At 49.6% G+C, this 15,308-nt stretch overlaps 1 protein-coding gene across 2 annotated transcripts in view, besides 2 other annotated features; it reads left to right on the plus strand.

Moving 5' to 3' along the window:
• The window catches only part of ZNRF3 (zinc and ring finger 3), a 173,917-nt gene that overhangs the window by 152,584 nt on the left and 6,025 nt on the right, over nucleotides 1-15,308 (plus strand). For both annotated transcript variants that reach the window (NM_001206998.2, NM_032173.4), the window contains exons 3-8: nucleotides 6,340-6,414; nucleotides 7,144-7,275; nucleotides 8,625-8,735; nucleotides 10,561-10,728; nucleotides 12,234-12,336; nucleotides 13,042-14,793. In NM_001206998.2, coding sequence (NP_001193927.1) covers nucleotides 6,340-6,414; nucleotides 7,144-7,275; nucleotides 8,625-8,735; nucleotides 10,561-10,728; nucleotides 12,234-12,336; nucleotides 13,042-14,793 — 2,341 coding nt within the window. The remainder of the gene's footprint in view (nucleotides 1-6,339; nucleotides 6,415-7,143; nucleotides 7,276-8,624; nucleotides 8,736-10,560; nucleotides 10,729-12,233; nucleotides 12,337-13,041; nucleotides 14,794-15,308) is intronic.
• Nucleotides 8,686-8,980: a silencer, noted in NCBI's record as "tiled region #3696; K562 Repressive non-DNase unmatched - State 15:Elon". NCBI's record gives its function as "represses a minimal TATA promoter and a strong SV40 promoter by Sharpr-MPRA in K562 cells {active_cell/tissue: K562}" and the evidence as "EXISTENCE:reporter gene assay evidence [ECO:0000049][PMID:27701403]".
• Nucleotides 8,686-8,980: an enhancer, noted in NCBI's record as "tiled region #3696; HepG2 Activating DNase matched - State 14:Gen5'". NCBI's record gives its function as "activates a minimal TATA promoter and a strong SV40 promoter by Sharpr-MPRA in HepG2 cells {active_cell/tissue: HepG2}" and the evidence as "EXISTENCE:reporter gene assay evidence [ECO:0000049][PMID:27701403]".

The raw sequence follows: 15,308 nt of genomic DNA on the forward strand, positions 1-15,308 counted from the left end.
TTTCTGAGTTATTTTAAATTGTTCATATCATGCACATATTACCCTTATAAATAGCAAAAACTCTAAAGATGATCGTATTTTCAGGGAAAATGTATTACAGAAGTGGTAAACAACAAGAGAAACCCTAAGATATTAGAGCTCAGAGAGAGGTATCTTATCTGTCCTTTGGCTAAGGAGAAGCACCATTAGTTTTATGGAAAAGGTTACACAGGAACTGGACCTTGAAGGATTAGTAATGTTAGTATTAATATGATCAACTCATTATATTTGACTCTAAAGTGTCTTTCTGCATGTGAAGTATCATCATCTAGAGAGTTACTCTCAAACTCACTTCTTTCTCCCTTCCACCCAGCTCATCAACAGACCGCCTAACCCAGAAATTAAATCTGTTGACAAATTTGCCTGTATTGTCTGTGCCAGTCTATCTATCTTGTCATTTATGCAGCCAAGTAAGAATTGGGTGGGTATATAAGAGGAGCATTAAAATTTGATGTGGATTTTATTGAGATTCTTCATAATCTTTATATTCTTTGGCACAGGGCCTACCTATGTCCTCTGGAAACTAGAAATGAAAACCAGTATTTATTCAATGTAGTATTAATTATAATTTTAAAAACTGGAACAACCCAAATATCAGAAATACATGTATAGTGTGTAGGAAAAAAAAATCACAGCCATTTAAAATATTTACAAAGAATTTTTAATAACTTAGAAGCTTATGATAAAGAAAAAAAGCCAGAAGGCAAAATTGTATTCAGTAGAGGCAAAAAATTCTGTTTGGGGCTCCCATATGTCTGCAACTTCCTGTAAGAGGTTGAAGACATGTCTTCATATTAGCGCTAACAGTCCAGCTTCCTTGGTTAGCTTATGGTCAGGAATGTGGGACAAATGAGATTTTTAGTCATCTTTTGGGTTATTTCCTATTAAGACTGTATTCTGTCAAAGTTTTCCCGCAATAAAGGGTAGGCACTAGGGATACCACATCCAAGAGCTTGACAGAGGAACAGGTAAACAGGTGAAAGTGGAATCCGTGCCCCAGAGACTCCAGGGAATAGAGATGGCGGTAGGTCCAAGCCCCAAACCAAGTCTGGGTATAACTACACACACTGGGGAGAATGCCAGATCCATTCCTGAGTGGAATTCCTGGTAAGTGGTGGGCTCTAGGCTTCACGTTTTCCCACCCACAAAGTGGTGATGGGACAATTCTCATCATAATTGGTACATTTGCACTGGAACATTCTAGACTCAATCTTACTAGTAAAAGCACTTCCTTATGAAAGAAAACCACATAACATTCACAGTCAGGGAGCACTTTCTTTTTACCAGTAGTAACCCGAGTATGGTACCAGGCAAGCTTGCTTTCACTTATAATAAACATTTATTGAATAACCATAGGAGTGGTAAGTGCCAACCACAATAGGGCCCTGTCTTCTAGAGGCTGGAATTTTGTACTTTGCAAATGTATTTTAAGGGCGCAAGTGTTTGCTCTTTTGCTACTTGTCTCAATGGCCACAGACATTATCTAGTCTCGAGTCCAGCAGCCCTGGGAAGGTAAATAAAAGGACCGTGGCAATCTTTCATTCAGCACTCTGCACTGGGTTTCTGGTCACCTGCTGGCTGGTGCCAACCTGCCCTGGCCTGAGCAAGGATGGAAGTAGCAAAGGTGATGAAGGATGTGAAGATACCCTTGTGGGTGGGGATGAGGGGAAGGGCACATAGAGGGCAGCAAGACAAGGCCTTTGGCTGCTTCTGGGAGGCCTTGCCAAAACTTCCCACCTGTGTTCTGCAGTCACACCCTTCTGTTAATCTTGCACTCCAGGCTGTGCACAGTTTAGGGATAACGGCCCTCTCCAGCTACAGCCCAGTTTACCAGTGACTTTCATCCAACCATATCCACCAGGCTGCATCTTTCCCATCCTTTCTTTGAAAGGGCCCCAGCTTCAGAGTTTTGGACGTTAAGTATGTGACTTAAAGATCCTAAAGATAGGATTTCTGGTGGCCACAAGACTGTGAACTCCTAATTAGGGTCTAGGTTTGTTTTGAAATAATATTCTGGTCTACACTTGAGTAATTAAAATGGTGAATGATCTGTGAGAGTGATTGGTTCAAGGAATATGCCTCATCAATTTTTAAACTGAAAATAAGGGCAGGGGGCAAAGAATGACCAAGTAATGTTCTGTTGCTTTTTTTTTTTTTTTTAAGACAGGGTCTCGCCCTGTCGCCCAGGCTGGAGTGCAGTGGCACAATCATGGCTCACTACAGCTTCAACCTCCTGGGCTCAAGCAGTCTACCTCAGCCTCCCGAGGAGCTGGGACTACAGGTGAATGCCACCATGCCTGCCTAGTTTTTAACTTTTTTGTGGAGACAGTCTTGCTATATTGCCCAGGCTAGTCTTGAACTCCTGGCTTCAAGCAGTCCTCCTGCCTCAACCTCCGAAAGTGCTGAGATTACAGGCATGAGCCACTGCACCTGGCCTGTATTTTTTTAATTTCCTTTCAGAACAGTATAATAAAAGTGTCTTTTTCTAAATATGGGTTATTCATGGCCTATTTTAAATCCTAAGCTGGCTTCTGACAGGCAAGTTCCCTTTAGGATCTTAGCTTGGCTCCCCTCCTGTCCAGTCCTGGTGTGTGCAGGAAATACAAACTGATTTTAATAGTAGTTTACATTAAATATTATTTTAAAAGTAGATCACCTGTGCGAATGAAGTATTTTTCTCAAACAAGGTATGTCCTTAGATCCTGTGCCTTTGCCTGGTTGTATTGGAAGTCAAGCTGTAAATGGAATTTAAGCACCATATATATATATATAGAGAGAGAGAGAGAGACAGATTCAAACCCCTGGGCTCAAGTGATACTCCCGCCTCAGCCTCCCAAGTAGCTGGGATTACAGGCCCGTGCAACTACAACCAGCTGCCTTATTACTGACCTGCCCTCTTCACTGTAAAAACCAGGAAACATATCACCATGTCCTAGATTTTGTGAAAAACGTCTTTTGTGTCTCTCAAATGGATCATGCTTCATCCGGAACCTCTGAGTCCTTGAGACCTCCACGTTCCGGGCGGAGCAGGGAAGCCTGAACTTTAAGAAGGCCACGTGGCTAAATGGCTTCCCTGAGGCATGTCTCTCCTGGGAAGGCATTCCCTACCCCAGATCCTGCAGCCTTTCATCCTGAGGCCATTAGACTCTCCAGGTGCACCTGCATCAAAGCGCACAGGTACCGCGCTCCTGATCTGGACTTATCTGAATTGTACCTTCCCCGAGGGTGCTGTTTGATGTGCTTGATTGTGGAATGAAAGCCAAATAAAGGAATGAGAGGGGCTGTTTATTTCCTCATTTTTAGTGCTTTTCCTCAGGGCCCTTCTATGTCTGGAGAAGGAATTTATGAAAAAGCCTAGGATACCACCTAAGCGGAAAACACCAGCATCTACTTACAATTATATTAACTCTGGCATCCATGAGCTGTTGGCCTCTGGCAGAGGAGTCTGTGTCCCTAAAGAGCTCTATGGATAGCCAGTATGGTGGCTCATGCCTGTGATCTCAGCACTTTGGGAGGCCGGAATGGGAGGATCACTTGAGCCCAGGAGCTCAAGACCAACCTGGGCAACATAGTGAGACCTCGTCTCTACCAAAAAAAAAAAAAAAAAAAAAAAAATTAGCCTGGCATGGTAGCAGGCACCTGCAGTCCCAGCTACTCAGGAGGCTGAGGCAGGAGGATCATTCGAGGCCAGGAGTTTGAGGCTGCAGTGAGCTATGATTGCACCACTCCAGCCCAGGTGACAGAGTGAAAGCCCATCTCTGATAGATAGAAAGATAGATAGCTCTATGGTGGAGGAAAGTGATGCCACTCTCGCCTCACACTTTTTCAGCTGTGTCATCAGCATCCTCTCTTCCTGGAGGAGGGTGACAGGGCCAGTGTAGTTCTGAGTTGCTCTGATAGCCTGCTGCTTCTCATTTGAGTGACCAAGGCTGGGAATTTAGAAGGGACTCTAGTCATAATAACATAGGCGGCCTCCCTGCACCCCCTCCCCCTTTTTTTTTTTGAGGCAGAGTCTCACTCTGTCGCCCAGGCTGGAGTGCCGTGGTGCGATCTCGGCTCATTACAACCTCCGCCTCCCAGGCTCAAGTGATTCTCCTGCCTCAGCCTCCCGAGTAACTGGGAGTACAAGCACATGCCACCACATCCAGCTGATTTTTTGCATTTTTAGTAGAGATAGGCTTTCACCATGTTGGCCAGACTGGTCTGGAACTCCTGACCTCAGGTGATCTACCCGCCTAAGCCTCTCAGAATGCTGGGATTACAGGCATAAGCCACCATGCCCAGCCATCCCCCACCGCCTTTTTTTTTTTTAACAGATGGGGAAACTGAGGCTGAGGCTGAAAGCAATTGAGTGACTTGTCCACTGTTGGCAGCATGCCAGTGGCAGAGGCAGGAATAGCTCCCAGGATTCATTCCTGACTCCTAGCCTAGCAATCTGGTGATGAAACAGGGTGTGGTGGACAATCGGCAGAGACTTTCAATGCATTGAATCTCCATTCAAAAAGAAAGGGTCCCCTGCAAGACAAAGACAGATTGTCCAGAGTGCCAGAACTTCTTAAACTGCCAAGGAACTTGCAGTATACTGAAGATTTTACTGAAGTTGTTTTTGGTACTGTTTGGTGCTAAATACAAGGAATTGGTTTGTTGTAAAAGCTATAGGGTGAGACTGCCCTCTAGTGGGCCAGTGGAGCTATTGGTCTAGCTGTGTTCTGGGCAACTTTGCTTTCTCACGCCACATCAATGTAGAGCGATTATTCCTACGGAAAGGAATTTCAATTTTATTCTTTCTCAAGCACTGTGGCCCATAGTAACTCTGTTGATCTCTAAGCACTAGCCATCATTTGCGCGTCTTATAGAAGGCTGGGTTTGCCTTCTATACATACACACATTAGAAGTGTCTTACTTCCCTAACAAGATTCAGGCTCCTAAAAGCCAGGACATGCATGTATGTATGTATGTATATATTTTGTGGAGACAGGGTCTTGCTCTGTCACTCAGGCTAGAATGAAGTGGTGCAATCACAACCCAACCTCTACCTCTTGGGCTCAATCAAACCTCCTACCTCAGCCTCCCGAGTAGCTGAGACTACAGTTACGTCCTGCCACACCCAGCTAATTTTTCTGTTATTTTTTAGATAATGGGGTCTTGCTATGTTACCTAGACTGGTCTCGAACTCCAGCCATGCTATATCTTAAGTCTTGTTTTTCCACAGCTTCTGCCTTGCTGTCCCCTTAGCTGGACATGGAATTAGAAGGTTCTTTGGGATGGAAAGGAATCCTTCCCCCACCTCCCCCAAAAAGAATCCCGTCACTTCTCATTTGTTCCTAAAACATTCTAATCTCATCCCTCTGATCAGTAGTTCCCCAAGTAGTTGAATCATCTGAATCCCCCAGAAAGCATACACAACTCAGTTTCCTGGGCCTGACTCCAGCCCTGCTCAATCAGTCTCTGTGGTTTGAGCCAGGAAACCTGCTTTACAAACTTCCCAAGTGGCTTTTGATGTGTAGCCAGGTCTGGCAGCCAACTGCTTCAAAACCCCATTTACAATTATTTTTCACAGCTCCCACCACCGACAGTGTCTCCAGAGGTCTTCAGCTTGTGTCACTTATTAAAATTAACCATTTTGAGACTCATTCAGAAATACTCAATATATTCTTCTAACTGGGTGACATGGGAAGGAAAAAGGAACCGCATGAGATGGACCAAAGGCACTTGCTTTGGTTGCCAATGGCTCTGAAACAGGAAATACTGAAACCAATACCTCTGTACTGACTGGGCAGGTTGTTGATGTGTAGGTTGTTTTCAGTATTTGGGCTGGATAGGAAGACAAAAGTTTGTTAAGTTATCAATTATGTATTTTCCCCTATTATAAGTCATCTGACCTCATGATTACCATACAAGGTAGGTGAAATTGTCCTCTTTAAAAAAAAGTTTTCTAATTGACAGATAATAATTGTACATATTCGTGGGGTACATAGCAATATTTCAATACATACAAGGTATAGTGATCAGATCAGGGTAATTCGCATATCCATTATCTCAAACATTTATCACTTCTTTGTGTTGGGAATGTCCTTCTCCTAGCTATTTGAAACTATATGTTATTGTTAACTCTAGTCATCAGTCCCCTTCTTTATAGATGGGAAAATTGAGGATTAGGAAAGTGAAGTAACATCCCTGAAGTCACCTAAGTTGGTAACTGTCAGATTCTGCATTTGATTACAGGCCTGATTGCCAAGGCCAACTTTGAAAAGGTAAGAGGACCAGAGGGCCAACCTGCTGTTTTTTTAACTCTGGCAGGCCAAGCGAGCAGTACAGCGGGGAGCTACTGCAGTCATCTTTGATGTGTCTGAAAACCCAGAAGCTATTGATCAGGTAAGCTCCTCAGGCCATGCCAACACTGCAGCCTCCCTGAGAAAGGCACTTCCTTTAGTGAGCTTGGCTTGTCCCGGTCATGTCACCCTCATCTCAGAGCATTTGCTCTTGTCTTCTGAAGTTAGGTGTCCATGTTTGGACATAATTCCCAAAGGAGGTATACTGGGCGAGGTTAAGAGCCAGGGAATTGGGGCACAGGGGGCATTTTCTCTTTTTTTCCCCCGAGATGGAGTCTTGCTCTGTCACCCAGGCTGGAGTGCAGTGGCGCAATTTCAGCTCACTGCAATCTCCACCTCCCGGGTTCAAGCGATTCTCCTGCCTCAGCCTCCCAAGTATCTGGAATTATAGGCACGAGCCACCACGCCTGGCTAATTTTTGTGTTTTTAGTAGAGATGGGGTTTCACCATGTTGGCCAGGCTGGTCTTGAACTCTTGACCTTGTGATCCATCTGCCTCGGCCTCCCAAAGTGCTGGGATTATAGGCGTGAGCCACTGCACCGGGTTCAGGGGGCATTTTCTAAGACCTTTCTGGGCCTTCTGCTTGCCCAGTCCATCCCAAAACAAGCGTCATTCTCAGCCTTGCTCTTCTGGGAGCTCCAAGGCTGTAATGTTGGAAGAGCTGGAGGATTCCAGACAGGTATTCAGTGTTCCTTCCCTCCAGCCTTTCTTTCTCTCTACTGCTTCTTAAAGTAAGCGCACCTTTTAACCAGAGCCCTCTCTTCTTCCTTAGCTGAACCAGGGCTCTGAAGACCCGCTCAAGAGGCCGGTGGTGTATGTGAAGGGTGCAGATGCCATTAAGCTGATGAACATCGTCAACAAGCAGAAAGTGGCTCGAGCAAGGATCCAGCACCGCCCTCCTCGAGTGAGCCTCCGCACCATTTGGCACAGGCTCGGGGCCTTCTCTGCTACTACCTGTCCCTTTATTTCCCTTGGGCTTTCATTCCTATCTCTGTCTGAAATGCTGGCATACCCCAGGTTCCTGCAGGCTTAGATCAGCTATTGGACTCAAGGCCAGGGTGAAATTTTACTCATGTTCCTTTATAGTGAATTTGAGAAATCCTACCAGAAATAGATACTTTTGTGCTAAGATGTCTCTGGCCTCTTCCACCTGGCATTCCCTCTTGGCCATCTCTCATCCTTTCTTTTCCATCCCATCTCCCTCTGAAAGGCAAACTGAGGAGGATTGAAGGGATGGGGCATCCAGCACCTGGCTTCCCGTGGCTTCCTTCTTCTATCTGGCTTAGACACTAGAAAAAAAGGCTTGTATTTCCTTCTTCCTGTAGAGTAGATTACCTTATTGAAACTCCCCAAGTTAATTTGAGTCTGGAAAAGTTAGCTTTCAACTGGGATTGAGTTCGACGGCTAAATGAATAGCATCTGCATCTCTTAAGTATGTAGAAGAGACACTACTGGCCACTAACTCTTAACCAGCCTCTTCTGCTCAAACCTCAAGCTGAAGAATTCCAGGAACCTTGGGCTGGTGCCCTATATTGGTGTTATTTCCTCCTCACAAATATTGGGACATTCACAGTGTAGGATGATTCTTTCCCATACACAACATAGCCGGTTACATGCAGCTTCCACTTTGCAAAGCTCTATTCCCATTGGCCAAATGGAGGTCCCAGATAAGGTGGCTGTGAGGTTTTAGGAGGCAGTGAGGAAAAGGTAAGAACTAAAACTAGAGGGAGTTTGCTGAACTGACTTGTTGGCTTCTTTTTAAAGGGAAAAAAAAAAGCGCTTTGGTAAATATGACTCATTGTAGTGGAAGCTGATATTTGTGGAAGCAGCATACAATTTTCTGAGTTGTTGTAAACCATTAATTATACGGTTAGTAATCACTGTTCCCTCAAAACATGACACTCACTCTTTTGTCCTATAAATGTGATTATTTGTGTTGATTTGGAAGGGCCTTTCTTACCAGTTACAGCCAACTTTGCAGTATTCCACAGGCTTTACCAACAGAGTTCCCTTGGCTCTTGGGGGGCCTGGCTGAGATCGCCACAGGCGTCCCCCTGGGCCACACCAAAGGCACTACATGGGCCTAGGGAGCACACCATGTGCATGTGAGCAGAACCCCAGGAGTTTCCTGCAAATTGAGGGGAAACTCATCCCGGTCACCCCATCTTTATCCTGACAAAGCCAAGATAGCCCATGTGCCGCTTACCAGGCTGGAGAGAGGCTGTGACTCACTGTGTCTGTGTTCCGTTCCAGCAACCCACTGAATACTTTGACATGGGGATTTTCCTGGCTTTCTTCGTCGTGGTCTCCTTGGTCTGCCTCATCCTCCTTGTCAAAATCAAGCTGAAGCAGCGACGCAGTCAGGTAGTGCCTCTGTGTGTAGCCCGTGAGCAGTAACCCCTCTTGCCGTGACACTGGGGAAAACCAGGACTCTCGTCACCTTATTTTTTGATGGTGCAACATGGAGCCTCACAGCTGTGGACTCTGAGCTCTGCAGCCTGTTCCCAGTGGCCTAGAAACTGCAAAGATGGAAAAAAAATAAGAGCAAACTAGGCCAGGCACCATGACTCACGCTTGTAATCCCAGCACTTTGGGAGGCCGAGGCAGGCAGATCACTTGAGCTCACGAGTTCAAGACCAGCCTAGTCAACATGGCAAAACCCCGTCTCTACCAAAAATACAAAAATTAGCTGGGCATGGTGGCATGTACGTGTAGTCCCAGCTACTCGGGAGGCTGAGGTGGGAGGATCACTTGAGCCTAGAGGGCAGAGGTTGCAATGAGCTATGATCACACCACTGCATTCCAGCCTGGGTAACAGAGTAAGACCCTGTCTCACAAAAAAAAAAAAAAAAAAAAGATCAAAACTTACAGCCCAGTGCCTTCTCTGTTCTAAAAGGGCTAGTCCTACAAAGGTTAAGCATTGGGAATATCTCCAGCAGGTGTTTCGAAGGAAGTGTTTATTTTATTTTTTTATTTCTTTGAGACAAGATCTCATTCTGTCACCCAGGCTGGAGTGCAATGGCATGATCTCGGCTCACTGCAACCTCCACCTCCCGGGGTCAACTGAGTCTCATGCCTTAGCCTCCCAAGTAGCTGGAATTACAGGCACCCGGCTAATTTTTGTATTTTTAATAGAGACGGGGTTTTACCATGTTGGCCAGCCTGGTCTCAAACTCCTAACCTCATGTGATCCGCCCGCCTCGGCCTCCCAAAATGCTGGGATTACAGGCGTGAGCCACCACGCCCGTCCCAAAGGAAGTGTTTAAGTCAACGTTAATAAGTATTATAAACACTCCACAGGTCTAGAATATGTGCTGTAGCAGTCTGAGTTTTGAGTGCTTTCTCTGAAGTCTATTCTGGCATGATTGAGAAGTGTTTGCCTGTCCCAGTACATCAAGTGGCGCCCTAGAGCCTTGGTCCTCAGATAGAATCTGTGGTCCAGCAGCAACGGCAGCACCTGGAAGCCTGATAGAAATGCAGGGTCTCAGGCTCCGCTCCAGGCCACCTACACAGTATACCAGGCTCTCTGGGTGATGCTTGATTAACAGTAGCTGCTGTAGCACTGCAGCCACATCACTTTGTGCTTGCAGGAAGGAGAAACTCGGGTAGGGGGTGGTGAGAGGATAAGCAGAGATCTGGACCCCCAAATGTATGGCAGGGTCATGTCTCAGGGGAGAGATGGTGGATCTTGGAAGGCAATCTGTAGAGAAGAGAATCACCAAAGTTCTCTTGAGGGTTGAGCGACCACCCCCAACAAGATGATGGCTTGTGTTTTTTGAGCACAGCCTATTTGCCAGGTGCTAAGCACTTACACATTGTCTATTTACTGTCACCACCTCCTTCAACAGAAAGAGGAGGAACGCTTGGCGTAGAACAGGTTGATAACTCGGGGTCTGGCAGAGTTAGGAGGCAGCAGGTCCAAGTAATTGGAGGAGACCCCTGCCTTCAAATCAGAGAGACCCCTGCTAGTCTTGCCACTTAGGAAAAGCCTAGGTTGATGTCGTGGACACCCCACGCGTCTGGAGAATATGTGCTATGGCAGTCTGAGTTCTGAGCGACTTCTCAGAAGTCTGTTCCGGCATGATAGAGAATTGTCTGCCTGTCCCAGTGAATCGTGTGTCATGTCCCTGGGGTGACTGCCACTTTCATACGTACTGGACCCTCACACAGACTACATTCTGCCCTGCAGAATTCCATGAACAGGCTGGCTGTGCAGGCTCTAGAGAAGATGGAAACCAGAAAGTTCAACTCCAAGAGCAAGGGGCGCCGGGAGGGGAGCTGTGGGGCCCTGGACACACTCAGCAGCAGCTCCACGTCCGACTGTGCCATCTGTCTGGAGAAGTACATTGATGGAGAGGTAATGGCAGAAGCAGGCCCGTCCTGGGTGGGGAAAACATAGGCAGGTCAGCAGAGGTGCCCAAGACCTAGAAGGACAGGGCCCTGTGTTCCATCACACACATCAACTTTTAGAGTCACTCTTCTGAAAATTCTGAGACTTGACTTGATACTTAGCTGGGTGTTTTTACTTACAAAGAGACAAGGGATTTTATATCCCTCACTTTTTTTTCTTGTAGCTCTTTGAAAATTTTAGGCCTAGTACCATGCCTGTAGTCCTAGCTACTTGGGAGGCTGAGGTGGAAGGATCACTTGAGGCTAGGAACTTGAGGCTGCAGTGAGCTATTATTACACCGCTGCATATCAGCCTGGACAACAGAGTGAGACTTTGTCTGTCTTAGAAAATTTCAGACCTTCAGAAAAGACTAGTACCATAGACGATATATGTCAGGGGCCTAGAATCATCCATGATGAACATTTTGCCACATTTGCTCACTCTCCCTCTCTCTAGACAGATGCATACATACACATATTTGCGGGGCAGGGAGCAAACCACTTGAGAATTACAGACATTTGATGCGCCTTTGTTGAAAATGTTCCACTGCTGCAGAGACTGTTGGATGGAAATGGAATTTTTGCAGAATAGAATAGTAGATTCTTACACAGACTCTGGGTTCTAATCCTGACCTGGGTGGATTCTAGCTTTGTGATCTTGGGCAAGTGACTTCGTTTTCTTGTGACATGGGCCTGACACTGACCAGCATTCCAGGTGATCATGAAGGTTCCATGAGAAGATCCAGGGTAGACCCTTTGTCATTCTGTCAGGCACAGTGTTAGGTGTGAGCTGGAATATTACTGTACTAGACAGGTCAGAAAATTGAAAGACAAAGTAAAATGAGCAAATCTGGAAGATGCTTAGGCTTAGGAACTCTGGAGGTGGTTCTGTCCCAATAACTCTATCTGTCTAGATAGGCTGCTTTTCTTATAAACCACACACCCCATGGTGAGGTTCAGGATCCAGTAAAGGAGGGGATAGCAGAGCTTTACCCCTTTGCTGCCACACCTGTCAATCATGAGTCCCAGGTATCTTCCTTTCTACTCATGCCTATTTGGGATACCCAGGGACAGCCAGCACCTCAGAGATGCAGAATATCTTGGGGTATACCTGGCCCTCTCTCCATACCCCTAAGCCTCCCATCCTCACTAGCAGGAGGACTCGGCCCTCCCTGGGTGGAGGCATGAGTGTGTTTGCCCTCCTCCAGCTACGGGAAAGACGCCTGCCTCTGTGCGTGCCCACTCCCTTAACACTGAGGACTGTGGATGGGGCTGACTGCTGGCAGTTTCCTTCTTCCTAGAACACATGGGTGGGCCCTGCTTCTAGGGAATTGAGCCCTAATTGGAGGTGGGGAGGAGAGTAGGGAAGGGCACGGGCATGCTGTGCAGAACTCCTTGGTCTATGCTGGACTCTGCAGGAGGACACACCTGCGAGGCTGAAGGCAGACTTGTGTCCCCTCTCTCCCTGCCCAGGAGCTGCGGGTCATCCCCTGTACTCACCGGTTTCACAGGAAGTGCGTGGACCCCTGGCTGCTGCAGCACCACACCTGCCCCCACTGTCGGCACAACATCATAGGTAACTGTCACCCGCCTTAGCCATTGCTGAAGAGTCAAGTGCCTAGCTAGAGTGTGACACACACCGCAGGCTTGGGAACACTCAGAACCACCGTGGCACTGCCCTCTGGACTTGGAGGCCTGGCAGCCCTGGGTTTTGGAGGTTGTCTGCACGACCCTTAGGAGAGCTTGGCATTAAGAATCACCCTGAGTTCAAGTTTGGGCTTCACATTAAGCAGCTTCTTGACCTCGGGCAAGACATCTGGCCTCTCCTAGGCCTGAGGCCCCTAATCTCTTTAGTGGCAATGACAGTAATGGTGTTTGCCCACACCCAGTACCATGGGGGTGTTCCTAGGACCACGAGAGACGATGAGTGTGCAGAGGCCAGCTTGGGCTGTTGCTCCTGCATCACTGTGTCATTAAACAGGGATGGAGGGACACTGGCATCTTTGAATCCGATTCTTTTCTGCAGACTTCTGTGGTGCCCTGTCAGGCAGAGCAGTGGGGAGTTGGGAGCGGGGCCCTTACAGGAGATGGGCCATTTCACACAGACAGGCAGGTCAGCCTCTGCCGCTGCAGCTCAGTTTGGGGGCAGGGTTGTGAGAATGGGTACCTTGGCAGGTGACCAAGCCTGCTGCTTCAGCCTTTGCCCGTTTTAAAAATCCCTTTAGCCTCTGACACCAGTATGCTCAGCCCTGCCTACTCTGTTTCCTCCACTTGTCTCCAGAACAAAAGGGAAACCCAAGCGCGGTGTGTGTGGAGACCAGCAACCTCTCACGTGGTCGGCAGCAGAGGGTGACCCTGCCGGTGCATTACCCCGGCCGCGTGCACAGGACCAACGCCATCCCAGCCTACCCTACGAGGACAAGCATGGACTCCCACGGCAACCCCGTCACCTTGCTGACCATGGACCGGCACGGGGAGCAGAGCCTCTATTCCCCGCAGACCCCCGCCTACATCCGCAGCTACCCACCCCTCCACCTGGACCACAGCCTGGCCGCTCACCGCTGCGGCCTGGAGCACCGGGCCTACTCCCCAGCCCACCCCTTCCGCAGGCCCAAGTTGAGTGGCCGCAGCTTCTCCAAGGCAGCTTGCTTCTCCCAGTATGAGACCATGTACCAGCACTACTACTTCCAGGGCCTCAGCTACCCGGAGCAGGAGGGGCAGTCCCCACCTAGCCTCGCACCCCGGGGCCCGGCCCGTGCCTTTCCTCCGAGCGGCAGTGGCAGCCTGCTCTTCCCCACCGTGGTGCACGTGGCCCCGCCCTCCCACCTGGAGAGCGGCAGCACGTCCAGCTTCAGCTGCTATCACGGCCACCGCTCGGTGTGCAGTGGCTACCTGGCCGACTGCCCAGGCAGCGACAGCAGCAGCAGCAGCAGCTCCGGCCAGTGCCACTGTTCCTCCAGTGACTCTGTGGTAGACTGCACTGAGGTCAGCAACCAGGGCGTGTACGGGAGCTGCTCCACCTTCCGCAGCTCCCTCAGCAGCGACTATGACCCCTTCATCTACCGCAGCCGGAGCCCCTGTCGTGCCAGTGAGGCGGGGGGCTCGGGCAGCTCGGGCCGGGGACCTGCCCTGTGCTTCGAGGGCTCCCCGCCTCCCGAGGAGCTCCCGGCGGTGCACAGTCATGGTGCTGGGCGGGGCGAGCCTTGGCCGGGCCCTGCCTCTCCCTCGGGGGATCAGGTGTCCACCTGCAGCCTGGAGATGAACTACAGCAGCAACTCCTCCCTGGAGCACAGGGGGCCCAATAGCTCTACCTCAGAAGTGGGGCTCGAGGCTTCTCCTGGGGCCGCCCCTGACCTCAGGAGGACCTGGAAGGGGGGCCACGAGTTGCCGTCGTGTGCCTGCTGCTGCGAGCCCCAGCCCTCCCCAGCCGGGCCTAGCGCCGGAGCAGCTGGCAGCAGCACCTTGTTCCTGGGGCCCCACCTCTACGAGGGCTCTGGCCCGGCGGGTGGGGAGCCCCAGTCAGGAAGCTCCCAGGGCTTGTACGGCCTTCACCCCGACCATTTGCCCAGGACAGATGGGGTGAAATACGAGGGTCTGCCCTGCTGCTTCTATGAAGAGAAGCAGGTGGCCCGCGGGGGCGGAGGGGGCAGCGGCTGCTACACTGAGGACTACTCGGTGAGTGTGCAGTACACGCTCACCGAGGAACCACCGCCCGGCTGCTACCCCGGGGCCCGGGACCTGAGCCAGCGCATCCCCATCATTCCAGAGGATGTGGACTGTGATCTGGGCCTGCCCTCGGACTGCCAAGGGACCCACAGCCTCGGCTCCTGGGGTGGGACGCGAGGCCCGGATACCCCACGGCCCCACAGGGGCCTGGGAGCAACCCGGGAAGAGGAGCGGGCTCTGTGCTGCCAGGCTAGGGCCCTACTGCGGCCTGGCTGCCCTCCGGAGGAGGCGGGTGCTGTCAGGGCCAACTTCCCTAGTGCCCTCCAGGACACTCAGGAGTCCAGCACCACTGCCACTGAGGCTGCAGGTGAGAGCAGGAAATGGCAGTAGGTCAGAGCAGGAGTTTCCATCAGGGTCGTCTTGTCTTCTGTCTTAGGCATTTTCTGAATGACTTCTTTTGTGTCCTTGGTTTTAAACACCATCTGAGGCTGAAGACTTCCAAGGGTTACTCCTCAGCCTGGCCCTCCCTTGGAGTTCAGACCCATTGAGCCCTCTGCTTCCATGATCTCGGGATCTCTCCCCAAGATGCCTGCAGCCTGTCATGTCCACAGCAGTACTCATTTCCCCCTCTGCCCTGCTCCCCATCCGCATGCTCACACCAAAAACCTAGCACCAGCTGGGGGTAGTGGCTCATGCCTCTAATCTTGGCTCACCCAACCACTTTGGGAGGCCGAGGCTGTGGATCACTTGAGGCCAGGAGTTGGAGACAGCCTGGCCAACATGGCAAAACCATGGAGTCGGTTCATGACTCCTCATGGCTGGGATATTATGTAGGAGCCACTTCATAAACATTCTCGTTACTCAGTACAAAAGTTAGCCAGG

Source organism: Homo sapiens, chromosome 22 (assembly GCF_000001405.40).
Source record: "Homo sapiens chromosome 22, GRCh38.p14 Primary Assembly".
Classification (NCBI taxonomy): Eukaryota; Metazoa; Chordata; class Mammalia; order Primates; family Hominidae; genus Homo; species Homo sapiens.